Below are 25,432 nucleotides of genomic sequence, written 5' to 3'. Positions count from 1 at the left end.
CATGTTATCCTGGCTGCTCTCGAACTTCTGACCTCAGGTGATCTGCTCACCTTGGCCTCTCAAAGTGCTGGGATTACAGGCATGAGCCACAGCACCCAGTCTTATTTTATTATTATTATTTTTGAGACAAGGTCTCGCTTGGCCGCACAGGCTGAAGTGGAGTGGTACAATCATGGCTCACTGAAGACTCCACCTCCTGGGCTCAAGCAACCTTCCCATCTCAGTCCCCCAAGTAGCTGGGACTACAGGAACACACCACCTTGCCTGGCTAATTTTTATTTTTATTTTTGTAGAGATGGGGGGGGCGGTTCTCACTATGTTGCCCGGGCTGGTCTCGAACTCCTGGGCTTAGGCAATCCTCCCACCTTGGCCCCCCAAAGTGCTGGGATTACAGGTGTGAGCCACCACACTCTGCCCATAAAACTATGCTATTATCAGCAATAACCCCCCAAAAGCCTTCTAGCTTCCTTTCAGTACCACCAACCTCTCCTCCCAGCCCCACTCATTCCAGGCCAAAATTGTGCAAAAAACTGTACATAATTCTCCCTTCCTGAAAGCCCAGTATTGGGACTTTGGACTTGGTTCAAATCCTGGCCCTACCGCTGTGTCGTGGGTGTTTTTCAACCTCTGGGCATCAATTTGATCTTGCTGAAAAGGAGGGTTGGCTGGGCATGATGGCATGAGCCACTGCACCCTTCCACTTCTGCCCACTTCTCTCTTCCGGGGCGAGGGGGTAATGTGCCAAGTTGGTTTTAATGTCTCAAGTTAAATAGTATGAAATTCTGGCAGGCTTTGGCCCTGAGTGTGTGGAGACCCTCACAACAAAAGCCTTCACTTCTTTCAGGTCTCCACACACACGGTCAACACTAAATGAGGATTTCCTGGGCAACAGCCACCAAACCTTTGCAGAGCAGCATACTTCTCTTTTGGGTGGACTCTTGAACAGCCTAAAATCTTCCACGGTCAGATAAAGGTGGTGAAACAAAGGTTGGCCTAATCTAGTACCTTAAGGACTGAAAAAAAAAATTAGGATTCAAACCAAAAGAAACTAAATTTCATTTTGTTTCTTTCATTTCCAAGTTTTAATTAAATATCTCTAATGGTTAGAAAATCAATGTCAAATACGAACATTGGTATACAGCTTAAAATACAAATGTCAGCAATTATTAAAGAACATGATTAATCATTGTTCCAAGTAAATGCTAGATCATTATTTCCCAGGAGGCAAGTTAAGCATCAGGTGCCTGAGGGGTAAGGGACAGGGCTTCAGTCGGCTCTGATAGCTGCATGGCTGTCCCAATGAGCTTTCCACTCAGATAGTGCCAGGGGCAGCTCTCATCACAGGCTGGCTCACTGGCCTTTATCCCCAGCTCCAAGGAAACACCAGGGCTTTTTCTGCCATGAGAATCGTGTTTCAGAGTCAAATGATCCACTTTAAGATGAAATTTGGACAGCTCAGTTCCAGAATATTCTAGTTTAACCTGGGAAGTTAAGACTTCCCAAAGGCTGAAGATAGGCTACTAGGGGCTGATGGACAAGAGTCAGGCCAGAGTCACTCTAAACACATCTTTGTTTTGTTCTGTATAATTAATTATACTGTATCTTCTTTAAGTAACTCAAGTTCAAGCTCTCTATATTTCACTTATGTTTAAAAGATGCCAATTTGATTGTGTCTAAACTGAACTTTACCCAGTGTGCTGAATACTAAAGACCTTTTAGGCCAAAGGAAAAAGATGTTTATATATTAACATACCTCAAAGTTTACATTTTCATTATAATAAATTAGCCTTAATGTTAACAAATAACATCTCAGAAAGCTGAATCTAAGTAGCCTGATCTATCATGCTAATTTGAGTTTGTTTTTTGTTTTTGTTTTTTTGAGATGGAGTTTCGCTCATGTTGCCCAGGCTGGAGTGCAATGGCACAATCTCAGCTCACTGCAACCTCTGCCTTCTGGGTTCAAGGGATTCTCCTGCCTCAGCCTCACAAGTAGCTGGGATTACAGGCATGCGCCACTATTCCAGGCTAATTTTTGTATTTTTAGTAGAGATGGAGTTTTACCATGTTGGTCAGGCTGGTCTCAAACTCCTGACCTCAGGTAATCCACCCACTTTGGCCTCCGAAAGTGCTGGGATCACAGGCATGAGCCACCGTGCACAGCCGACTTTTTTTTTTTTTTTTTTAATTCAAACTTTTTTTTTAGACACAGTCTCACTCTGTCACTCAGTCTGGAGTGCAATGGCACGATCACAGCTCACTCTGGCCTAGACCTCCTGGGCTCAAGAGATCCTCTCATTTCAGCCTTCCAAGCAGCTGAGACTACAGGCATGTGCCACACCTGGCTATTTTTTTTTTTTTTTGTAGAGGCAAGATCTATGTTGCCCAGGCTGGTCTCATACTGTACTCAAGTGAGTCTTCTGTCTTGGAATCCCAAAGTGCTGGGATTACAGGTGTGGGCCACTGTGCCTAGCCACGAATTTGAATTTAGAATACTATCTTATCTATCCATTTTTACCAAGCCCCAGAATCAAGAGAGATGCAGTTATATATTTTTTAAAAATCTGGTGAGGTGTGGTGGCTCATGCCTGTAATGCTAGCACTTTGGGAAGCTGAGGTGGGAGGATCACTTGAGCTCAGGAGTTCGCAGCCTGGCCAACATGGTGAAACTCTGTCTCTACTAAAAATACAAAAAATTAGCGGTGTGTGGTGGTGCATGCCTGTAATCCCAGCTACTCTGTGGCAGAGGCACGAGAGTCACTTCAATCTGGGAGGCAGACGTTGCAGTGAGCTGAGACTGTGTCACTGCACTTCAGCCTGGGCGACTGAGTGAGACTGTCTCAAAAAAAAGAAAGAAAATAAATCTAAATTATGCCAATATTATCAAAGTTTCTTACCTAAAATCATATACAATTTTAAGCACCAAAGCATACTTTCTTCAAAAGTTACATCCAAAATATTAAATGTTCAATCTCATTTTTCAGTTCATTTTAAGTCTCAATACTGAAATCTCCGTATAAAAGGAATAATAAATGCTTTGAAAGACCTGACAATTACCACTAAACTCCTCTCAAATCCCAGTGTCCTGGGGCAGTAGCCCATGTGCTTCAAGAAGTCCAATGACAGCAGGATAGTGGTCAGGGAGACAGGAGTTTAATCAGGAGGTGCTCCCCAGAATGTTCATGGAAAGAACAGATGATTCACAGTGGAAAAAAAGCAAATGATAAATAAGCCTTTCTTCTTTCTCAATATTACTAACTAGAAAGCAGGAAAATCTATTAGGCAGAGAAAAACCAGATATGCCTGGAGATACAGGTAAGGAGTCTGTGTTCTCTCAGCTGTCTCACAGGTTAATGAATCAGATATATTTATGACCCATGCTAGGCTCCAAAGTAAGATTCAGGTACTCTGTATGCCAGTAAAGGCTTCAAGGATACTCCAGGGTTTAGCTAGTATAAAGAATAAAGGACAAAGAAAATGCCAGACAACCAGCCTGAGCAACATAGCAAGATCATGTTTTCACCAAAAAAAGTTTTTTTAATTATCTGGGCCTGATGGTTCATGCCTGTAGACCCAGCTACTTGGGAGGCTAAAAGGGGAGGGAACATTGGAGTCCAGGAGTTTGACAGTGAGTTATAATGATGCCACTGCACTCCAGCATGGGCGACAAAGCAAGACCTTGTCTCAAAAAACAACAAAAAGTAAACGTCAGATAGAATCCTCAATTTTAGCAACAAACCCTCATGCTAGCAGAATGGAAGTGATTTACATTTTATTTTTGATTCAAGATCTAGGAGATAGGCTGGGTGCGGTGGCTCATGCCTATCATCCCAGCACCTTGGGAGGCCGAGGTGGGCAGATTGCTTGAGTCTAGGAGTTTGAGACCAGCCTGGGCAACATGGCAAAACCCTGTCTCTACAAAAAATTAAAAAAATTAGCCAGGCATGGTGGTGCATAGTCCCAGCTACTCGGGAGGCTGAGGCAGGAGGATCGTTTGAGCCTGGGCTGCAGAGGTTGCAGTGAGCCAAGATCATGCCATTGCACTCCAGCCTGGCTACAGGGAGACCCTGTCAAGAAGGAAAGAAAGAAAGAAAGAGAGAGAGAGGAAGGAAGGAAGGAAGGAAGGAAGGAAGGAAGGAAGGAAGGAAGGAAGGAAGGAAGGAAGGAAGGACGGACTAAGAGATAAGATGGATTTTTTTTTTTTTTTTTTGAGACAGAGTTTCACTCTTGTTGCCCAGGCTGGAGTGCAATGGTGCGATCTTGGCTCACCGCAACCTCCGCCTCCCGGGTTCAAGTGATTTTCCTGCCTCAGCCTCCCGAGTAGCTGGGATTACAGGCATGCACCACCACACCTGGCTAATTTTGTATTTTTAGTAGAGATGGAGTTTCTCCATGTTGGTCAGGCTGGTCTCGAATTCCCGACCTCAGGTGATCCATCCGCCTCGGCCTCCCACAGTGCTGGGATTACAGGCGTAAACTACTGCACCCAGCCAAGAAGGAATATTAATGGTTTCAGAATAAAAGGATCAAGGCTTAAATATTCAAAAGATAATTTCTTAGATGAAAACACATGACTAAACAGTTGCACTGAAAAATGTACAAAGAAACACCACCAAATTAGAAGTATCCCAACATTTGACTGAATGTCAGCTGGGACATAGACAAAAAACAGGAAACCAAACCTAGCTATTTGTTTTTCTTTTCAGTAGGTGGCATAAAGGGGTAAGATGAGAAAAGGGATCAACAAATGTAGTTCAACTTAATTGAAGAATTCTGCCTGACGTAGTAGAGGCAAATAAAATTGTTGGTTTTGTGGGATTATATTTGTTTCCATTTAGGGACACATTTCCTGTTGTTTAAATGCCACAGCAACTCATGAGATGAAATTCATCTCCAAAATGGATCCACATAACTGAATTTCCAAGTAAATACAAAGAGTCTACAGCCCACAGAAACCATTACAAATTACACTTTTATTTTTGCCCCAACTCCTATACTAAATATGGTCTAATTCCTGAGGACTAGCAATGGTGGTTTATCCCACAGTCTTGGGGCAAGCGTCCCATCTGATAAGTCTCACTCCTCCCTCCTGCCCACCACCTCTCAGGAAAGGATTCAGAGAAACTTGGTTAGAAACTGTTGTCCTTAAGCCTTTGTGTTTTCACCTCTCCAGATAGAGGTTGAATCTTAAGTCCACAATCCGCTAAATTAACCTGTCCTGTCTAAACGTCTATCACCACAACTACCACATGCAATCACATTTTCTCCTTTCCTGCAGCCATAGGAAGCAGGAACATGTGAAAGATTCTTTCAGACAATATTTTGCAGTTGGCAGGTGCAGGGTGAATGAGGGGTTCAGCATAGCAGAGGTAGAAGGATTGTGTGGAATTGACAGAAGAATGTTTGAGAGGTATAATCAGAAAGCTTAAATGCTGTGAATCAACCCCCAAAGGCTCAGCCCAGGAGGAAATTTTACTAATGCAGGAAAGGTCAGGAGTTAAGGCATAGACTAGTTACCTCCTAGCATGGCTCAAAGTTTCTGGAATGGGACTCAGTAGAGGGCACAAAAAGCTGCACCAGTAAGTTCAGCTGGTCCAGAGGCATAGATCCTATCAGCTGAAAACCAAAACAAGTCATTCCAAGCATGCTTACAGTAGGCGTGTTTGCAAGTTTAAGGATTCAGTTTTAAAATAAACGAAAACAGAACTAGAATGTAGTATTACAAAATTTCTCACAAGCATAATCACAAAAAAAAAAGTTAGGATATTGCATAGAAAAGGGTCCTGTAGTATGCTTTGTAAACCTAGACCTTAGTAATTTAAATAAAAGACAAACAAATAAAATATCTCTTCATAGTCTACAAGTCCATGATTGTGAATTCAGGAGAATTATCAAATTTGCAGATTTTTGTGGCAAGACCTAAGAAGCTCCTGAAGTTCTTTATTCTCAGAATCATGATTAAATTTACCCTTTGAAGGCTCAGGCTGACACAGTTTAACAACATCTTTATCAAATGACTGGGGCTACACAAGCCCAAGCCAATTCTATAGACTTTATGCTCTGTCCTCTCTGCATATAAGACTTAATCAGAACATACAGGGACATGAAATCACTGCTATTTCACTGTTTTTTAAAGCTAGGCTGTTTGTTTTTTTCCTCCTGTTAGTCTATTTAGCAAATTAAATCTGCCTGCGCTTTTAATAGTAAGGTTTGGATAGCTAGTTTAGGAGTAAGTGAAACATTTTAGAAGAGCATTTATGTTAACCTTGACAATAGGATGGGAGATTCTTAACCCCCCTTGTAATATGCACCGATTGATTCTGAGTTAAAATACACCACAGTGACAGTGATATCATCCCTGTACATCCTCGCCAAGTCCTCTGGCAATGTCAGCATCGCCGCCAGCCGCTCTGCCTCCATCTCCCCATACTCATTGTTCCCGATGGCATGTCTGATCAGCCGCGTGGCTGCATTTTGGTCAGCCTCGTGGAGCCCGCTGGCTTTCCTCTGCAGCAGCAGGCTCTGCATGAGCCCCAAGTTGGCGGGTCTCTGGGCCAGGTCTGTCTTGTGCCAATCTGCCTCAGCCAGGTGCCCCACCACCAGCCTTACCACGTCCTCATTGCTCAGCATGTCCCACAGGCCATCTGAGGCCAGCACAAGGAACTTATCCTGGGGCCTCAGCCTGTGGTATGTGACCTCAGGCTCAGCAGTCAGGTAGGGTGGAGTGTAGTAGTGTGGGGGTGTGAACTGGTAAATGTTGAGGGCCTCGGTATTGAAGCCCCTCTCCAGAATGCTGCGCTGCAACTCTTTACTCCACTTCAGCTGAACATCCCCAAAGGCCCTGCAGGGGATGAGGACGCCCAGTAGCCTGTCCTCCATGATGATCGTCCTGTCCTCTGACTCAGGGTGCTCCCTCTTTAGCCGGGACAGCTCGGCCTGGTTCCAGGCATTGTGGTCACGTGTAAGGGGCAGACAAGACCACATGCCATTGTCCTCTTGGACACCAAGGATGGCTCGGCAGTCACCAGCATTTGCCACGTGCAAGTGAATTCCATCAACATGGGCCATGCAAGCTGTTGCCCCAGAGAAAGCAACCTGGAGTGACAGGTTCCTTGTCACCTCATCTTCCAGGGGGGCCTGGATTTCCAGCGAGATGTCAGAATCCAGTCTCTGGAAGGAGTACATTAATGCTTCTTCAATGCTTAGTCCCATTTCCATGTGCAAATCAAGCAGTTCCTGCCAATAGACACGGAGGTGGTCAAGATGCACAGATGTGACATCCTTGTAGATACTGTCCCCTGGGTGCTTGAGCCAATGCAGGATGGGCAGCAAGGGTTTCATGCTTTCCATAGCTCCCTCCATGTGCTCCAGGGTCTGGTGGGACATCAGGGACACTGCCACATAGTAGAAGAGCCTCTCGCTCACTGCTTGGGCACATGCATGACCACCATGTCCATCGAAGATGCCAAACATCAGTCCATTGGTTTGCAGGCAGGAGGCTACACCTCGCCGGTCCTCCACTGGGGAATTGGCAGCCAGCTGGTTGCTCTCAAACCGCAACACTGAATTTGGGACTCTGCTTTCAAGGTCAAGAATCTTGTGGGTTGTCTCGCCAGCTCGAAGCACTTCATTTATCTGCTCAGGGCTGAGTTGCAAGTGAAAATCATCTTCCTCTGTTGATGTGTGTCTGTAGGCTTTGCACAGAGTAAAGCCACCACATGGGGAACTGTTTAGGGTGGGTGGCACCCGGGAAAAGAGCCTCCATTTTAATTTATTCCTATTTGAGACATACCTGGAGTATAAGCGTCTACCCCCTTGCAATGTGGCAATGCTGTTCCTTGTAGAATTTAAGATCCAGTAGGACACAGTACTTGACATTCTGAAACTATACCAGCAAATGTGTTCCTTCAGCAAAAAAGGATATTTTTAAACCTAAAAATTAAAAAGTTGAAGTTTCAAATTTAATTTCTTTTTTTTTTTTTTTTTTTTGAGACGTAGTCTCGCTCTGCCGCCCAGGCTGGAGTGCAGTGGTGTGATCTCTGCTCACTGCAAGCTCCGCCTCCCAGGTTCATGCCATTCTCCTACCTCAGACTCTGGAGTAGCTGGGACTACAGGCGCCCGCCACCACACCTGGCCAATTTTTTGTATGTTTAGTAGAGACAGGGTTTCACCATGTTAGCCAGGATGGTCTCGATCTCCTGACCTTGTGATCCACCTGCCTCGGCCTCCCAAAGTGCTGGGATTACAGGCGTGAGCCAAAGCACCCAGCCACAAATTTAATTTCTTAAAAATACTGACTTCTGAAAACATTTGCTAATATCCTGAACAAAAATGACTTAGAATAAACTATTTAAAATACACTAAACTCACTCTCACCAGCAGACTATAAGTGTTCATTTAAATATCTGCTTCGGGGGCCAGGCCTGGTGGCTCATGCCTGTAATCCTAGCACTTTGGGAGGCCAAGGTGGGTGGATAGCTTGAGCCCAGGAGTTCGAGACTAGCCTGGGCAACATGGTGAAACCCTGTCTCTCCAAAAAAATAAAAAAAATAAAAAAATTGCCAGGCATGGTGGTGTGTATCTATAGTCACAGCTACTTGGGAGGCTGAGGTAGGAGAATCATCTGAGCCTGGTAAGTTGAGGCTGCAGAAAGCAGTGATTGTGCCACTGCAGTCTAGCCTGGGCCTCACTAGAGAGGGAGTGAGACCCTGTCTCAAAGAAAACAAAAACAGGCCTGACGCGGTGGCTCACGCCTGTAATCCCAGCACTTTGGGAGGCCGAGGTGGGCTGATCACGAGTTCAGGAGATCGAGACCATCCTGGCTAACACAGTGAAACCCCGTCTCTACTAAAAATACAAAAATTTAGCTGGGTGCAGTGATGGGCGCCTGTAGTCCCAGCTACTCAGGAGGCTGAGGCAGGAGAATGGCGTGAACCCAGGAGGCAGAGTTTGCAGTGAGCCAAGATTGCACCACTGCACTCCAGCCTGGGCGAGAGCGAAACTCCGTCTCAAAAATAAATAAATAAATAAATAATCTGCTTCGGGCATAGTGGCTCATACCTGTAACCACTCCAAAGGCTGAGGCGGGAGGATCACTTGAGCCTAGGAGTTCCAAGACCAGCCTGGGCAACATAAGGAGACCTGGTTTCTACAAAAAATTTTTTTACAAATTAGTTGGGCATGGTGGCGCACACCTATAGCCCCATTCACTTGTAAGGCTGAGGTGAGAGGATTGCTTAAGCCCTGGAGGTCAAGACTGCAATGAGCTGTGCTCCTGCCACTGCACTCCAGCCTGGGCAACAGAGCAAGACCCTGTCTCAAAAACTAAATTTTATATACATGTATATTTCCCCACTAGTCTATAAACTCCATGACTCAAGCAACTATGGCTGCCTTACTCACCAACAGCTTTCCAGTGCCTGGCCCTGTACCCGGCACACACTAAGTCCTCAAATACTGGCTAAATATGACATTTTCAGAGGCCCAATAGCACACTAGCTGTGATACTATCTTGTGTAGCATCAGACACACTGCTGATGAGGTAACACTCCAGTTATCTATTGGTGGAATGGGAATATTAGTCTTAGAAGGTTTTGTGAGAATTTAATAAAATATGACGCTTCTGCTAAAAAAAAAAAAGTAGCTATTATTTTCATCATTAGGTATATACCCCTCTAAGTCATTCTGGGTATTTTTTGTTTGGTTTTTTTTTGTTTTGTTTTGTTTTTGAGATGGAGCCTGGCTCTGTCCCCAGGCTAGAGTGCAATGGTAAGATCGTGGCTCACTGCAGCCTTGCCCTTCTGGCCTCAAGGGATCCTCCTGCCTCAGCCTCCTACATAGCTGGGACTACAGGCATGTGCCGCCAGGCCCAGCTAATAGACAGGGTCTCCCCGTGTTTTCCAGGCTGGTCTCAAACTCCTAGGCTCAAGCGATCTTCCGCCCTTGGCCTCCCAAAGTGCTGAGATTACAGGTGGGAGCTACTGCGCACAGTCATTCTGTACGTATTTTTGTAGAGTTGTAACCCCAACTTTGAATCTGGCTTTCCTGATAAGAGTATTTTTTCACATCTGATGGCTACATTTTGACATAAATAATCACAACTTACTTAACTATTCTTTACGGCTGGAAATTTAGAGGTTGTTTCTACTACTTGCTATTTATTAATATAAAATACCAAACTGGACTGGGCACAGTGGCTCATGCCTATAATCTCAGCATTTTGGGAGGCCAAGGCAAGAGGATCACTTGAGGCTAGGGAGTTTAAGACCACCCTGGGTGATACAGCAAGTGCCCCATCTCTACAAAAATTTTTAGATTAGCTGGGCATGGTGGTAAGTGCCTGTAGTCCCAGCTACTCAAGAGGCTGAGGTGGGAGGATCGCTTGAGCCCAAGATTTCAAGACTGCAGTGAGCTATGATCACACCACTGCACTCCAGCCTGGGCGACAGAGCCAGATCTGTCTCTTTAAAAACAACAACAACAACAAAACCCCACCAAACTGTACTGCTTTATGCAGTAACCTTTTCTCTACTTAGGTTTTATCCTAGTTATTTCCCAAACAAGGAGTCAGTAGGTCCAAGGGTGTAGACTCATTGCCAAACTGATTTCCAAAAGCTTCACATCTGCCTCCTCAAGGGGGTGACGAGTTTCCTAGTCCCTTCACTAGCCCTGGTGGTACTTTTCCTTGGAATATAATAAATTAAATTAAATTAAATTAAATTAAATTAAATTAAAAAAAAAAAAACAGAACAAAACCTTGACCCATTATAATGAGCTTTTCATGTATGAATCCTGCCCTCGGGATCTCGAGATCATTTGTCGGGACCTCAAGAGTTCCCAGGACTGAGGACCGTCCCTTCACTCCCCCACCCCCTGCCAGCCCACCCCGCAGAAGTCGGTGCGGGGGCGGTCTGTCCGGGAGCAGAGGGCGCCTGACGCTCCGGCCCTGCAGTCAAGGCAGGCAGCGGTGCAGGGTGATACACCGCAGCCAGGACGCAAACCCTCTTGCATCCTTAAAGAAAACAGACAGGTCCCAAGTTCAAATCTCTGACTTCAGCCTCATCGCTAAGTGCATGGACTCCGGAGCCCACCAAAACCGATCTCCCTAGAACCCCGGCACGGCCGTACCCCAGCTGGGTGCCCCCGGGCGACCCGCTTGGTGCCTCTGAGCCCCGGCTTGCCAGCCTGTAAAACAGGGGCGTGCAGTCGGGACACAGAGCTCCAAGGGGTGCTCGATAGGCCAGAGCAGCTAGTGGGGTGCCCCGGTAGGCAGCCAAGGGTCCTCGGCGAGCCCGCGGGCCCACGTGGCGCGCGCACGTGAGTGGGGTGACCGTGGTCGTAGGCCCAGCTGGTCCCTCTCCGCCGCGGACCCGCCCCCTCACCTCAGCTCTCCCTCCGCCCAGTCACCTGAGCCGGTGCCGCAGGCCGGGAGGGTCAGGCGCCGGCGAGGCCTGGCGGGGAAAGAGGTGTCCACATCCCCCGCTCGTTACCTTCCCTACCTCGGACCCTCGCCCGCTTCTCACCAGCTGGCGAGGCCACAGCCGCCCGCTCCGTCCGGTCAGTTCAGCGCCTGCGCACAGTGCCACAACTGCGGCCACCAGGTCCTCACCTCACCCAGGCGGTCCCTAGTCAGGACCCAGCTCCAGAAGGAAGCGCCCTCCCGCCAGCCCTGGTTGGCTCAATTGCGGAGGCGGGCCCTTGATGGACAGAGGTATTGCCCAATGGCTAAAGAGGATGAGAGGCGGGCAGAAAGGCGGGACCCGGGAGGGGGCAACACCGCCCCTTACCCCCTGCCTGGGTGCTGAAAGTGTTCGAGCGCGGGGCCACAGGACCAGGCAGTCACGTGCCTGAGATCGCCAGCTACGTGGCCGCTACACTCTGCATACCCCGAACCCAGCGGCCTCCCCAATTCCTCACCGTTGTTAGAACACCTCACTGCTTCCTCTCCACTTCGGTGTCGACCACTCCAGAACCCTCTCTTGAGCGCCACACCCTGATGTCCAGCCACCTGGACACCTGCCTCTGGAGGCCCCCAGGCGCCTCAAACATAACTTACCCCAAACTCAGCTTTCTGCCAAACTTGCTTTTTCTCTTCTCTCCTAACCCAGTAATGGCCCCACCATCTGCCCAGAGACCCAAGCCAAAACCCTGGGAGGCATCTTGACTCCTTCCTCTCCCTCACCCTCTCTTTCCAGTTATCTAATGCTGTAAATCCTATCTCCTAAATCTCTCTCCACTCATCCATCCGGCGACGCAGCCACCCTATTCCAAGCCTCTCACTTGATTTTACGGTTTTCCCTCCTCCACCTTTGACTTGGTCCTAACCACAGAGCAGAGCAGCCAGAATGACGCCCCTCCCACCTTTTCTCGTGGTTGGTGGGTAGAGACAAGGTCTTTCTATGTTGCCCAGGCTGGTCTCAAACTGCCGGGCTCAAGCAATCCTCCCACCTCAGCCTCCCCAAAGTGCTGGGATTACAGACGTGAGCCATCACGCCTGGCAGAATGACACTTCTAAAACTCAAATTCCAAGGCCGAGTGCGGTGGCTCCTGCCTGTAATCCCAGCACTTTGGGAGGCCGAGGCGGGGGGATCTCCTGAGGTCAGGAGTTTGAGACCAGCCTGGCCAACATCACGAAACCGTCTCTACTAAAAATACAAAAATTAGCTGGGAGTGGTGGTGCGCGCCTGTAGTCCCAGCTACCTGGGAGGCTGAGGCATGAGAATCATTTGAACCAGGGAGGTGGAAGTTGCACTGAGGTGAGATCATGCCACTGCACGCCAGCCTGGGAGACAGAGTGAGAGTCTGTCTCAAAAAAAACAAAAACAGAAACAAAAACAAACCAAAAAAACCCTCAAATTCCTGCCCTAAAGTCTTTTTTTTTTTTTTTTTTTTTTTTTTTTGAGACGGAGTCTCGCTCTGTCGCCCAGGCTGGAGTGCAGTGGCGGGATCTCGGCTCACTGCAAGCTCCGCCTCCCGGGTTCACGCCATTCCCCTGCCTCAGCCTCCCAAGTAGCTGGGACTACAGGCGCCCGCCACTACGCCCGGCTAATTTTTTGTATTTTTAGTAGAGACGGGGTTTCACCGTTTTAGCCGGGATGGTCTCGATCTCCTGACCTCGTGATCCGCCCGCCTCCGCCTCCCAAAGTGCTGGGATTACAGGCGTGAGCCACCGCGCCCGGCCTCCTGCCCTAAAGTCTTTAGTGGTTTCCCACAAACCATTAAGCTTTGAACTGACCATTATATTGGCCTGCTACTGACAATTAACTCAGCACGGCTGGCGGCTGGTAGGTTGAGAGAGACAGCGAACCCCGACACCAGATAATCCCTCCGTCCCTTCTGGTCCTAACATTGTGGCATTCCAGTGATGACCTGCTTCCTTATAAATTATTTTCACAGAACTCTTGTAACTATGGTAAGTCAGATGGAGTCCTTCCCTGGAGACAGAGAAAAATGGGAGACAACCAGAAAAAGCCACTTGGAGCCCTGAGAGTGTGGTTTTCCAGAAGGAAGACACCCTGGCTTACCTGGGCAGCCTGGCCAGCCTCCTGGACCCAAGGACGTGGTCACAATAAAACTGCTCATGTCAGACTTGCCCTTGTATATTTATAGTTCCACTCACCCTTAGCCCTTTCCAGAAGTTCAAAGTCAGGACTGGCAATATCTCTCTTCCTGCATATTAAGAGGACTGTTTCAGACCCAAACTAAAAAAAAGTCTAAGGGTTTCTAATAAATGAGTGCAAGAGAATGCAAAAGCACACTTCTTCCCTCCCCCCAGCAGACAGGTCATATAGGGTCACAACGGGTTACCCTTCCGGACAGAGGCAGCAGTGTTTAATTATTCAATCTGCAGGTGTTATGGGTGCCCACAATGTGTCAGGCCCTGGGCTGACTGCTGAGACACACAGATGGCGGCCCCCGCCACTTTCCTGAGAAAAATTACATCATTCCACCAAGCCTGAAACCACTGAGTTTTTCTAAGTTACCACACACACCCACTTCCAAAGTAAAAATGCACCCTGGAGGATTTTATGTGCATTGGAACTTTCATTTCAAGGCTATAACCAGTTCAGTCACCCTATATAGGATGGCCAGCCGAAGTCCCTCACCGGATCTCTCAAGGCTTCCTTGTCCCAAGGTCTTATAAGCAAATACGATGGAAAAGGATTACTTCTCTCTCCTTCGAGAAAGGGAAAGCATAGCTCGATTGGCAGGTTTTTTTTGTTTTTGTTTTTGTTTTTGTTTTGATATGGAGTCTCACTCTGTCACCCAGTCTGGAGGGCAATGGTGTGGTCTCGGCTCACTGCAACCTCCGCCTCCCGGGTTCAAGCGATTCTCCCGGCTCAGCCTCTCAAGTAGCTGGGACCACAGGCATGTGCCATCATACCCGGCTAATTTCTGTATTTTTAGTAGAGAGGGGGTTTCACTATGTTGGCCAGGTTGGTCTCAAACTCCTGACCTTGTGATCTGCCTGCCTTGGCCTCCCAAAGTGCTGGGATTACAGGCGTGAGCCACTGTGCCCAGCTGTTCAATTGGCATTTTTAGAGAAAAGATGTAAAAATATTCAGCCTCACTCAAAACCAAAGAAATGGCCAGGCACAGTGGCTCATGCCTGTAATCCCAACAATTTGGGAGGCCGAGGTAGGTAGATCACTTGAGCTCAGGAGTTCGAGACCAGCCTGGGCAACATGGTGAAACCCCCCCATCTCTACAAAAAATACAAAAATTAGGCTGGGGGCGGTGGCTCACGCCTGTAATCCCAGCACTTTGGGAGGCCAAGGTGGGCAGATCACTTGAGGTCGGGAGTTTGAGACCAGCCTGGCCAACATAGTGAAACCCTGTCTCTAATAAAAATACAAAAAATTAGCCAGGTGTAGTAGTTTGTGTCTGTAATCCCAGCTACAGGAGGCTGAGGCAGGAGAAGTGCTTGAACCTGGTAGGCAGAGGTTGCACTCCAGCCTGGGTGACAGAGTGAGACTCTGTCTCAAACAAACAAACAAACAAACAAACAAAACAAAAATTAGCTAGGCGTGGTGGTATGCATCTGTAGTCCCAGCTACTCAGGAGACTGAGGTGGGAGGATGGGAGGATGGCTTGAGCCTGGGAGGCAGAGGTTGCAGTGAGCCAAGATTGTGCCACTACACTCCACCTTGGGCAAAAGAGCCAGACCCTGTCTCAAAGTAATATTAATAATAATAATAAATAAAAGAAAAAGAAATGCTAATTAAATGAACCATTAATTTTTGTCAGTCAACCTGGTAAATATTAAAACAGGGTTTAAATACATAACATTGGCAAGAGAGCATTGCCATCTTAGCAGGGAGTGTGATATGGTTTGGCTCTTTGTCCCCACCCAAATCTCATTTCAAATTGTAATTCCCACTTGTCAAGGGAGGGATCTGGTGGGAGGTGATTGGATCATAAGGGCTGTTCCCTCATGCTGTTCTCATAATAGTGAGTGAGTTCCCACGAGATCTGATTTTGTTTTTTTTTTTTAACAGAGTCTCGCTCTGTTGCCCAGGCTGGAGTGCAGTGGCGCGATCTCAGCTCACTGCAAGCCCCGCCTCCCGGGTTCACGCCATTCTCCTGCCCAAGCCTCCCAAGTAGCTGGGACTACAGGTGCCCGCTACCATTCTCGGCTAATTTTTTGTATTTTTAGTAGAAACAGGATTTCACTGTGTTAGCCAGGATGGTCTGGATCTCCTGACCTCGTGGAGATCTGATTGTTTATAACAGACAGTTTCCCCTGTGCTCTTGCTTGCCTGCCGCCATTTAAAACGTGTCTTGCTTCCCCTTTGTCTTCTGCCATGATTGTAAGTTTCCTGAGGCCTCCCCAGCCATGCGGAAATGTGAGTCAATTAAACCTCTTTCCTTTATAAATTATGCAGTCTCAGGTATTCTTCATAGCAGTGTGAAAACTGACTAATACAGAGCATACATGGAGGCTACTCAATGGGCATACCTTTGATCCACTAATTCTACTTATTTCAATTTATCCTAAAGAGACAAAGGTGAACATTACAAATTTTTTACAGTAAATATACATTACTCCATCTAGCATAACTTGTATAATGAGGGGGGGAAAAGCAAAACTATTTTTATTTTATTTTTTATTTATTTATTCTTTTTTTGAGACAGAGTCTTGCTCTGCTGCCTAGGCTGGAGTGCAGTGGCACAATCTTGGCTCACTGCAACCTCTGCCTCCTGGGTTCAAGCAATTCTCCTGCCTCAGCCTCCCAAGTATCTGGGACTACAGGCACACGCTGCCACGCCTGGCTAATTTTTTTGTTTGTTTGTTTGTATTTTTAGTAGAGACGGGGTTTCACCACATTGCCCAGGCTGGTCTCGAACTCCTGAGCTCAGGCAATCGGCCCGTCTCAGCCTCCCAAAGTGCTGGGATTACAGGTATGAGCCACTGCACCCAGCTGCAACACTATTTTTAAAACAGCCAGATGCAAGAGAATCTCTTGAACACAGGAGGCAGAGGTTGCAGTGAGCTGAGATCACTCCAGCCCGGATGACAAAGCAAGACTCTGTCTCAAAAACAAAACAAAACAAAAACAAAACCACCCAGGTGAGTGACAGGGGTAAAGAAATGGACCTCTTGGATGATTCCTGCAAAGTCCCCTGATTCCTCACCTATGCAGACAAGACTTTTTTTTTTTTTTTTTTTTTTTTTTTGAGACAGGGTCTTGCTCTGTCGCCCAGGCTGGAGTGCAGTGGCGCAGGAACAGCTCACTGCAGCTTCAACCTCCCAGGCTCAAGCGATCCTGGGACTACAGGCGAACACCACCACACATGGCTAATTTTTGAATTTTTTGTAGAGAGACTCCCACTATGTTGCCCAGGTGATCTTGAACTCCTGAGCTCAAGTGATCGCCCACCTTGGCCTCCCAAAGTGCTGGGCTTATAGGCATAAGCCACTGTGCCTGGCTACAGACAAGACATCTATGGAATGTTAGGAAAGCTGGATTTGAGGATGATCTTGTGTCAGGAAGACCTGAGACAGTGGCAGCCAGTTTCTATCTCACTGTTAAAGCTGTAGCATCCGGCCACGCATAGTGGCTTATGCCTGTAATCTCAGCACTTTGGGAGGCTGAGGTGGGCGGATCACTTGAGGCCAGGAGTTTGACACCAGCCTCGCCAGCATGGTGAAACCCCGTCTCTACAAAAATACAAAAATTAGCCAAGTGAGTGTGGTGGTACATGCCTATAGTCCCAGCTACTCAGGAGGCTGAAGCACAAGAACCGACTGAACCCGGGAGGTGGAGGCTGCGGTGAGCCGAGGTCATGCCACTGCATTCCAGCCTGGGCAACAGAGCAAAATTATGTTGCGGAAAAAAAAAAAAAAAAAAAAGCTGTAACGTCCACGCTGATATCTAGGACAATTTGTAAAAATCTCAAGTGTCTTTGTTCTTTGTCAGTTAGCAGAAAAGTTTGTCATTGCAGTAGTTCTGTGGCATTCTCACTCCCCAGAGCATCTGAATAAAGCCAGAAGAGCTACCCCTCCCTGTGGGGCAGCTAGCTCAGGGATGGTTTAGCAAGGCTTGAGGCTGTGCCAGTGAAAAATGCTTGAGAATTTTTGAAAAATACAAGTCCTTCTTCAGCCCTTTATTCAAATCTCCTCTGAAGTAACACCACCAACAAGTTTACCAGGTTGTCGGGAGGCCTAAAAATTGTTGTTTTAAGTGCCTCAAGCTAAAGCCAATGCTAAGGCTTGCTCTCCTGTAGAGGAGGATGGGCAGACTCTCTGGGGGAAATATGACCTGTGTTTTTCAGCCTCTTTTCCAAAGAGGGGCAATTCCTTTCACTCACCAGAAAGAGCAGCTGCACACAAGACTGCAGTGATCTGTGCCCTAGGGGCAAAGCAACTGCTCTCTTTGCCACCATCAAGTCCCACTCATCCCCAATCAGGCCTTATTCAGGAGTGGGCTCATTATTTTCCATCACCTTGGTCAGGGGTGGTGGCTCATGCCTGTAGTCCCAGTGCTTTGGGAGGCCAAGGCAGGTGGATCCCTTGAGGCCAAGAGTTTGAGACCAGCCTGGGCAACAGAGACAGGCCAACAGAAGAAAACAAGAAGAAGAAGGAGGTAGAGGAGGAGGGAGGAGGAGGGAGGAGGAGGGGGGAGGAGGGAGGAGGAGGAAGGAGGAGAGGGGAGGAGGGAGGAGAGGAGAAGAAGGGGGGAGGAGGAGGGAGTGGAGGAGGGGGTAGGAGGAGAAGGAGGAGGAGGAGAAGGAGGAGAAGGGAGGAGGAGGGGGCAGGAGGAAGGGAGGAGGAGGAAGGAGGAGGAGGGAGGAGGAGGGAGGAGGGGGAGGAGGGAGGAGAGGAGAGGAAGGGGGAGGAGGAGGGAAAGGGGGAGGAGGAGGGAGAGGAGGAGGGGGTAGGAGGAGGGAGAGGAGGAGGGGGTAGGAGGAGGAGGAGAAGGAGGAGAAGGGAGGAGGGGGGAGGAGGGGGAGGAGGAGGGGGGAGGAGGAGGAGGAAGAAGGACAGGAGGAGGAGTAGGAGAAGAAGAGGAGGAGAAGGGGGAGGAGAGAGAAGAATTTTCCATCACCCTGTGGGTCTCAGGACTGAGGCCCGGCTCTGCCACCTACTTGCTGTGTGACCCTGCGGGCCAGTCACTTCCTCTGAGCCTCAGTAAAACTACATGGAAGGGCATTTGTGTGGGCTTTGTGGTTGTCGTTTGCACTCCAATTGGCAAATGACTCACATCCTTTCAAGAAGGGTAGTTTGGAGAGTAGAACGGCCTAAAAGTCTGGTGGGCGTGGACGGAGAAGAGGAAGCTGGGAGAGGAGACTCCGAACCTCCGAGGCTCAAGCGGCGCGCATTTGCGGCCGAGGCTTCAGGGGACACGGCCAGCAGGGGGCGCGGCCCGGCGAGCTCGCTCCCAGGAGGCGCATGCTGTAGGAGACCGCAGAGTCGGCTGCGTCAGCAGGCAATGGCCTTGGAGCACCGGCCTGAGCTACCCAGGGAGACGGTGGATCTCCAGGAAACCGCGAGTGCCTAGGAGCCCCTCCCCACCTTTTCCGGGGAAGCCCTGGTCGGAGCGAGCCGGTGAGCAACTCTATGCAAAAAGCATGCGAGCACTGGGGGCTGCGCACAAGGGTGGTGTGCAAGGGTGTCAGCACCCCAGGTTGGGGCTGCAGGGATCTCACCTCGGCCTGAGCAGGCGCGCGGTTGGAATTGGCCAGGACAGAACACCAAGTGGAAAAACACGTTTACGACAAAGAGAAGGCGTTTTGATAACAACAACGATTTATTTCTGTATTTCTTCTCTATCCCCTTTTCCTCCCCGTGTGCACACCTGTTTATATGCAGAGAAAAGTTTAGTAGGACACACAAGCCAGCAGTTACCAATGCTTATCTCTGGGTCATAAAACTGTAGGTCTATTTCTTTATTTCTTTATTTTTGAGACAGTCTCCCATCAGGCTGCAGTGCAGTGGCGCAATCATAGCTCACTGCATTTGAACTCCTGGGCTCAATAGATCCTCCTACCTCAGCTTCCTAAGTAGCTGGGACTACAGGTGTGCACCACCACAGCCCAGCTGGAACTCTTACATTCTTTATTTTTCCATTTATTTCATTATTTACTATTCTTATATCTTTTTAATTAAAAAAAATTTTTTTTTACTAATTTATTTAATAGAGACATGGTCTTGCTATGTTGCCAGGGCTGGTTTTGAACTCCTGGGCTCAAGCAATCCTCTCCAGTCACCCAAAGTGCTGGGATCACAGGTGTGAGCCACCACTCCAGCCCTACTCATTTTTTTTTTTTTTTAAATAGAGACAGAGTCTCGCTCTGTTACCCGGGGTTGGTGTCAAACTCCTGGACTCAAACAATCCTCCTGCCTCAGCCTCCGAAAGTGCTGTGATCACAGGCGTGAGCCACCGCCTCTGGCCTACTTTTCTTATTTTTAAACATGGAACATATATTTAATAATCAGGAACAATTCATTAAAGTCTGCCTTACACACTTACACATAGGAGTGGGAGGGAAGAAGACACAGCACACCCACTCTCTGGGGCAAGAAGGCAACAGAGAAGAGGCCAGGTTGCAGCTGCACCTGCCCTGTGGGTGAGGACTGGAGGCACCGCCCTTGTAGATAGGAAATCCAGGAAGGCTTTCGGGAGAGATCTGAAGGAAGTTATGGAGAGAAAACAGCAGGGGCAAAGGTCCTGGCCTTGTGGGCCAAAGGAAGGGCTTGGATTTTATGGCCAGGGCTGCCTGCCCCATCTCCAACCCTTGGGCCAGGGCTGGAAAGGACTTGAGAGGGCATCTCCCTCCTGCTTTCCTAAAGCATGCTCCCTGGAACACGATCCCACAAAATGTTCTGAGAGAAAAGATCCATAGCCCACTACCCCACCTTGGAAGAGATTCAGAATGCACAGTGTGTATAGTCAAGGCTTTAAAATTCTGCAGTAAAAGGAATCCATCCAGTTTTATTGCAGCAATGCCAAATGTTTCCCCATGAACCTCCTCTTTGCTGTAGAAACTAGTCACATCTGGCTGGACCCATGTACTTTGTGAGACACCCTTCTATCCATTTTTTTTAAGACAGAGTCTTGCTCTGTTGCCCAGGCTGGAGTACAGTGGCGTGATTATAGCTCACTGCAGCCTTGACCTCCTGGGCTCAGGCAATCCTCCTGCCTCAGCCTCCTGAGTAACTGGGACTACAGGCATGTGCCACCACTCCCAGCTAAGTTTTATTTTTTGTAGAGACGAGACTCACTATGTTGCCCAGGCTGGTCTCAAACTCCTGAGTACAAGCAATCCTCCTGCCTTGACCTTCCAAAATGCTGGGATTGGAGATGTGAGCCACCTCGCCCAGCCCATCCATTCTTTAAGGTGTAAAATAAAGTACAGAGACCTAAACTGACTTCTGCAGGTTCTCTTTTTTTTTTTTTGAGACCGAGTCTCGCTCTGTCGCCCAAGCTGGAGGGCAGTGGTGCCATCTCGGCTCACTGCAACCTCCACCTCCAGGGTTCAAGCGATTCTCCTGTCTCGCCCTCCCGAGTAGCTGGGACTACAGGCGCGTGCCACCACACCCGGCTGATTTTTTTTTATTTTTAGTAGAGACGGGGTTTCACCATGTTAGCCAGGATGGTGTGGATCTCCTGACCTCGTGATCCATCCACCTCGGCCTCCCAAAGTGCTGGGATTACAGGTGTGAGCCACCGCACCCGGCCTTCTTCTGCAGGTTCTCTAGAATCCCACTTTAAGCTCCTGGCTGAGGTGGGTCTGGACCCCATTCTCTGGACTCCCATCAAGCCACTTTCCTGGAAGCTTCCCACATTTAGTAGTTGAAGGAGCCAGTTTGGACATCTCCAAAGTCAGAGAGAGAGCTCCTGTATGCTCCTCCAGGGAAGACAGTTAGCATCTCCAGCTCCATGCTGTGGTTTTTTATTTATTTATCTTTAGATAATGACTATAACTTAATTTTAATTTTTTATTTTATGCTTTTTTTTTTTTTTTTTGAGATGGAGTCTCACTGTGTCACCCAGGCTTGAGTGCAGTGGTGAGATCTTGGCTCACTGCAACCTCCACCTCCCGGGCTCAGATGATTCTCCTGCCTTAGCCTTCCGTGTAGCTGTGATTACAGGCATGCACCACCACGCCCAGCTAATTTTGTATTTTTAGTAGAGACAGGGTTTCACCATGTTGGCCAGGCTGGTCTTGAACTCCTGACCTCAGGTGATCCACCCGCCTTGGCCTCCCAAAGTGCTGGGATTACAGGCATGAGCCACCATGCCCGGCCTATGCTTCTTTTTCTTTTCTTTTTTTTTGAGACAGAGTCTCACTCTGTCGCCCAGGCTGGAGTGCAATGGTGCAATCTCAGCTCACTGCAACCTCTGCCTCCCAGGTTCAAGCGATTTTCCTCCTCAGCCTCCCAAGTAGCTGGGATTACAAGCACCCACCATCATGCCTGGCTAATTTTTGTATTTTTGTAGAGATGGGGTTTCACCATGTTGGCCAGGCTAGTCTTGAACTCCTGACCTCAGGTGACCTGCCAGCCTTGGCCTCCCAAAATGCTGGGATTACAGGCGTGAGGCACTGCACCTAGCCTCTTTTTCCTTTGCAAAATCATTGGTAAAGAAAGACTATAATTTAAATATACCCATGCATTGCCTTCATTTCCAGGGTGCTAACAATGTATGGGTATTTCTGAGCCTGCTCCCTGACCCCCACTGCCTCCATGGGAAATACAGTTTCAAACACACTCATAGAAAGTCAAGCACTCTTTAATCAGCCATTAGCAACAATCAAACCCTATAAACCTTCACCTGAACAACCCAGTTCTCCATAGAAGTCTGAGAATCCAAACTGGGTATATTTTCTTCCCTGTTGAGGACCAGGAGGACACTTTGGCCTGGAGGCTTGTGTAGGAAGTGCACAGCCCATGACCTCTACTTTCCCCAAAGACAAGAGCCTCCCCTGGCACAGGGTACCCCATGTGATGTGGCAGTTTAAGAGGCTGGGCAGACACAAGAATCCCAGCACTGCCATTGGTCAAATGAGTGACTTGTGCAAGGAACCTCAACTGCATTTGGAGCCTCAGTTTCTCTATCTGCTGAATGGGGGCAGCCGTTCCCATGTATATTGTGGGGGCAGACCCTCCCCCAGCTGTGTGTTCACTGCAGAATGGGGGGCAGGGAGAAGTATGCAGAGTGCTGGAGCACAGCTGCCCTCCTTTCCTTGGCTCAAGAGCTATTTCTGTCTGAAGAACTAGGACCTGTCACTGTAATCAGGGCACCCCCATCTCCAGGCTATGCTGAAGACTGGGTCAACTTTATTTTATTTTTAAAAAAAAATTTTTTTGAGACAGAGTCTGGCTCTGTCACCCAGACTAGAGTGCAGTGGTGCAATTTCGGTTCAGTGCAACCCCCGCCTCTTAGGTTCAAGCTTCTCATGCCTCAGCCTCCCAAGTAGCTGAGACTACAGGCAGACGCCACCACACCGAGCTAATTTTTGTACTTTTAGTAGAGATGGGGTTTAGTAGAGATGTTGGTCGGGCTGGTCTTGGTCTCCTGACCTCAAGTGATCCACCCAAGTAGATCAAGTGATGGGTCTCCCAAAGTGCTGGGATTACAGGCGTGAGCCACTGCGCCCCGCCTTGGTCAACTTTTTTTTTTTTTTTTGAGATGGAGTGTAGCTCTTGTTGCCCAGGCTGGAGTGCAATGGCACAGTCTCGGCTCACTGCAACCTCCGCCCTCCGGGTTCAAGCGATTCTCCTGCCTCAGCCTCGCAAGTAGCTGGGATTACAGGCACCCACCACCATACCCGGCTAATTTTGTATTTTTTTTTATTAGAGATGGGGTTTCACCATGTTGGCCAGGCTGGTCTCGAACTCCTGACCTCAAGTGATCCACCCACCTTGGCCTCCCAAAGTGCTGGAATTATAGGCATGAGCTACCATGCCTGGCCTGGGTCAACTTTAATTTGGCTTTTTCTCACACCTTCAGTTCCATGTAACTGCCTCCAGGCCCTTGCCCTTGCTGTTCCCTGTTTGGAATGCCCTCTTCTTTTTCTTCTTTTTTTTTTTTTGGAGATGAAGTCTCGCTCTGTCACCCAGGCTGGAGTGCAGTGGCTCGATCTCAGCTCACTGCAACTTCCACCTCCTGGGTTCAAGCAATTCTCCTGCCTCAGCTTCCCGAGTAGCTGGGATTACAGGCATGTGCCACCACGCCTGGCTAGTTTTTTTTTTTCTTTCTTTTAGCAGAGATGGGGTTTCACTGTGTTGCCCAGGGTGGTCTCGAACTCCTAACCTTGAGACCTGCCCTCCTCGGCCTTCCAAAGTGCTGAGATTACAGGCGTGAGCCCCTGCGTGCTGGGATTACAGGCGTAAGCCACCGCGCCCGGCCCTCTGCCCTCTTCTATCCTTCATAGTTTCGGGGAGAAGTGCACGTCCTTTCCCCAGGAGTCCAGTGGTTGTGGCGCTGGCCAGCTGTCTGCTCCGTCCAGTGCCGGAGCTTCTAGCCAGCAGAAGAAGCAAGAGCTGAGGGCATCAGTGAAACAGGAGATAAACAACAGCAAAAATATTTTATATAGTTTGACAAGTAGCAACCTGCCAGGCAAACTCTTTTCCAGCACAGCCAGGCTCAGGCCCCGGGTGGTGGATCCCCGGCTAGGATGCACTGAAGACACAGCCGCAGCTTTAAACGTGGCCACCAGGGGGCGAGAACAGATTGCGGGAAGCACCTGAGCTTCTCATTTCCCAGAGTGGAGGGAGGAAGAGTGTGGAAGAGTGTGGAGTGTGTGTGTGTGTGTGTGTGTGTGTGTGTGTGTGTGTGTGTGTGTCTTCACTCCTTTTCAGGGACCTAGTGTGGGGCGGGGGGCTTTACTCCTTTTCAGGGGCCTAGAGCTTGCTCAGACTTCGTTCTGGGATAGACCAATCGTGGCCCGAGCAACTCCTGGCTGTGTGACCCAGAGCAAATGTCTTAATCAATTTGATCCTCAGTATCTCAGTTGCAAAATGGGAATAAGGCCGGGCACAGTGGCTTATGCCTGTAATCCCAACATTTTGGGAGGCCGAGGCAGGAGGCTCACCTGAGGTCAGGAGTTCGAGACCGGCCTAGCCAACCATGGCCAAGGTGGTGAAACTCGTCTCTACTAAAAATACAAAAATTAGCCGTGCGTAGTGGCAGGTGCATTTAATCCCAGCTACTCGGGAGGCTGAGGCAGGAGAATCACGAACCTGGGAGATGGAGGTTGCTGTGAGCCGAGATCCTGCCACTGCACTCCAGCCTGGGCGACAGAGCAAGACTCTGTCTCAAACAAACAAACAAAAATGAGAGAAAGAATAGTACCTATCTCAGAAGGTTTGGGGTCTTGGCTGGGCATAATGGCTCATGCATGTAATCCCAGCACTTTGAGAGGCCAAGCTGGGAGGATTGCTTGAGGTCAGGAGCTCAAGACCAGCCTGGGCAATATGGGGAGACTCCATCTCTACTAAAAATTTAAAAAATTAGCTAGGAGTGGTGGATACTCTGGGGGCTGAGTTGGGAGGATCGCTTGAGCCCAAGAGGTTAAGGCTGCAGTGAGCCATGATAGCGCCACTGCACTCCATCCTGGATGACACAGTGAGACCTTCTCTCAAAACATTAATTAATTACTTATTTTTTAAAAAGGTCTTGGGTCTGATTAAATGAGTCAGTTCATGGACTGTTCACTGATGGGCCATTCCACAGGCACATGGAGCATGTTCTCAAAGACACCAAAGGAAGGTGCTCTAAAACAATTTGTTACTTAACATTTTATTAAAACAAAAGCAACATGAGGGAAATCACAATTATGTTTACCTTCCCTGTAGTTACTTGTCAGTTCGGTATCATTTTGGACTATTTTTCTGTTTAGTGACATACTTGAGGACCCCGTCATCCTCTTGGTGTGTGACTTAAGTGGGTTTTCAGCCCACAGAGGTCTCCACAGGAGCTATAGATGA

The 25,432-nt window shown here is 48.5% G+C and overlaps 1 protein-coding gene and 1 long non-coding RNA gene across 9 annotated transcripts in view, besides 4 other annotated features; one reads left to right on the top strand and one right to left on the bottom strand.

Moving 5' to 3' along the window:
* On the bottom strand, positions 1,059 to 11,645 carry PDP2 (pyruvate dehydrogenase phosphatase catalytic subunit 2). Of its 8 annotated transcripts, none has more exons than NM_001329933.2 (3): positions 11,404 to 11,645; positions 9,058 to 9,145; positions 1,059 to 7,929 (listed from the first exon to the last, which is right to left on the bottom strand). In NM_001329933.2, exon 3 carries the CDS (start codon positions 7,873 to 7,875, stop codon positions 6,286 to 6,288), a length of 1,590 nt encoding a protein of 529 aa, NP_001316862.1. In that variant the 5' UTR covers positions 7,876 to 7,929; positions 9,058 to 9,145; positions 11,404 to 11,645; the 3' UTR covers positions 1,059 to 6,285. The 8 variants fall into 8 exon arrangements, with proteins under 8 accessions (NP_001316862.1, NP_001316857.1, NP_001316861.1 ...); NM_001329928.2 differs by having other exon boundaries at positions 11,496 to 11,645; NM_001329932.2 differs by having other exon boundaries at positions 11,520 to 11,645.
* Positions 10,831 to 11,603: an enhancer, noted in NCBI's record as "H3K27ac-H3K4me1 hESC enhancer chr16:66914460-66915232 (GRCh37/hg19 assembly coordinates)". NCBI's record gives its function as "activates a minimal SCP1, AML or CMV promoter by ChIP-STARR-seq in naive H9 embryonic stem cells {active_cell/tissue: H9 hESC(naive)}" and the evidence as "EXISTENCE:reporter gene assay evidence [ECO:0000049][PMID:30033119]".
* Positions 11,192 to 11,371: a silencer, noted in NCBI's record as "silent region_7570". NCBI's record gives its function as "represses an Ori minimal core promoter by ATAC-STARR-seq in GM12878 lymphoblastoid cells {active_cell/tissue: GM12878}" and the evidence as "EXISTENCE:reporter gene assay evidence [ECO:0000049][PMID:35858748]".
* Positions 11,852 to 11,931: an enhancer, noted in NCBI's record as "active region_10943". NCBI's record gives its function as "activates an Ori minimal core promoter by ATAC-STARR-seq in GM12878 lymphoblastoid cells {active_cell/tissue: GM12878}" and the evidence as "EXISTENCE:reporter gene assay evidence [ECO:0000049][PMID:35858748]".
* Positions 14,082 to 14,131: an enhancer, noted in NCBI's record as "active region_10942". NCBI's record gives its function as "activates an Ori minimal core promoter by ATAC-STARR-seq in GM12878 lymphoblastoid cells {active_cell/tissue: GM12878}" and the evidence as "EXISTENCE:reporter gene assay evidence [ECO:0000049][PMID:35858748]".
* LOC124903699 (uncharacterized) overlaps positions 18,905 to 25,432 on the top strand; it is a 31,823-nt gene continuing 25,295 nt past the window's right edge. The window contains exon 1 of the long non-coding RNA XR_007065088.1: positions 18,905 to 19,045. This is a non-coding gene — a long non-coding RNA (uncharacterized LOC124903699). The remainder of the gene's footprint in view (positions 19,046 to 25,432) is intronic.

Source organism: Homo sapiens, chromosome 16 (assembly GCF_000001405.40).
Source record: "Homo sapiens chromosome 16, GRCh38.p14 Primary Assembly".
Classification (NCBI taxonomy): Eukaryota; Metazoa; Chordata; class Mammalia; order Primates; family Hominidae; genus Homo; species Homo sapiens.
Note: the sequence above shows the minus strand (reverse complement) of the source record. Positions and strands in the feature narration are given on the sequence as shown.

Coding starts and splice junctions, on each gene's coding strand:
- PDP2 (NM_001329931.2), bottom strand. CDS start 7,875: ATGTCAAGTACTGTGTCCTACTGGATCTTAAATTCTACAAGGAACAGC.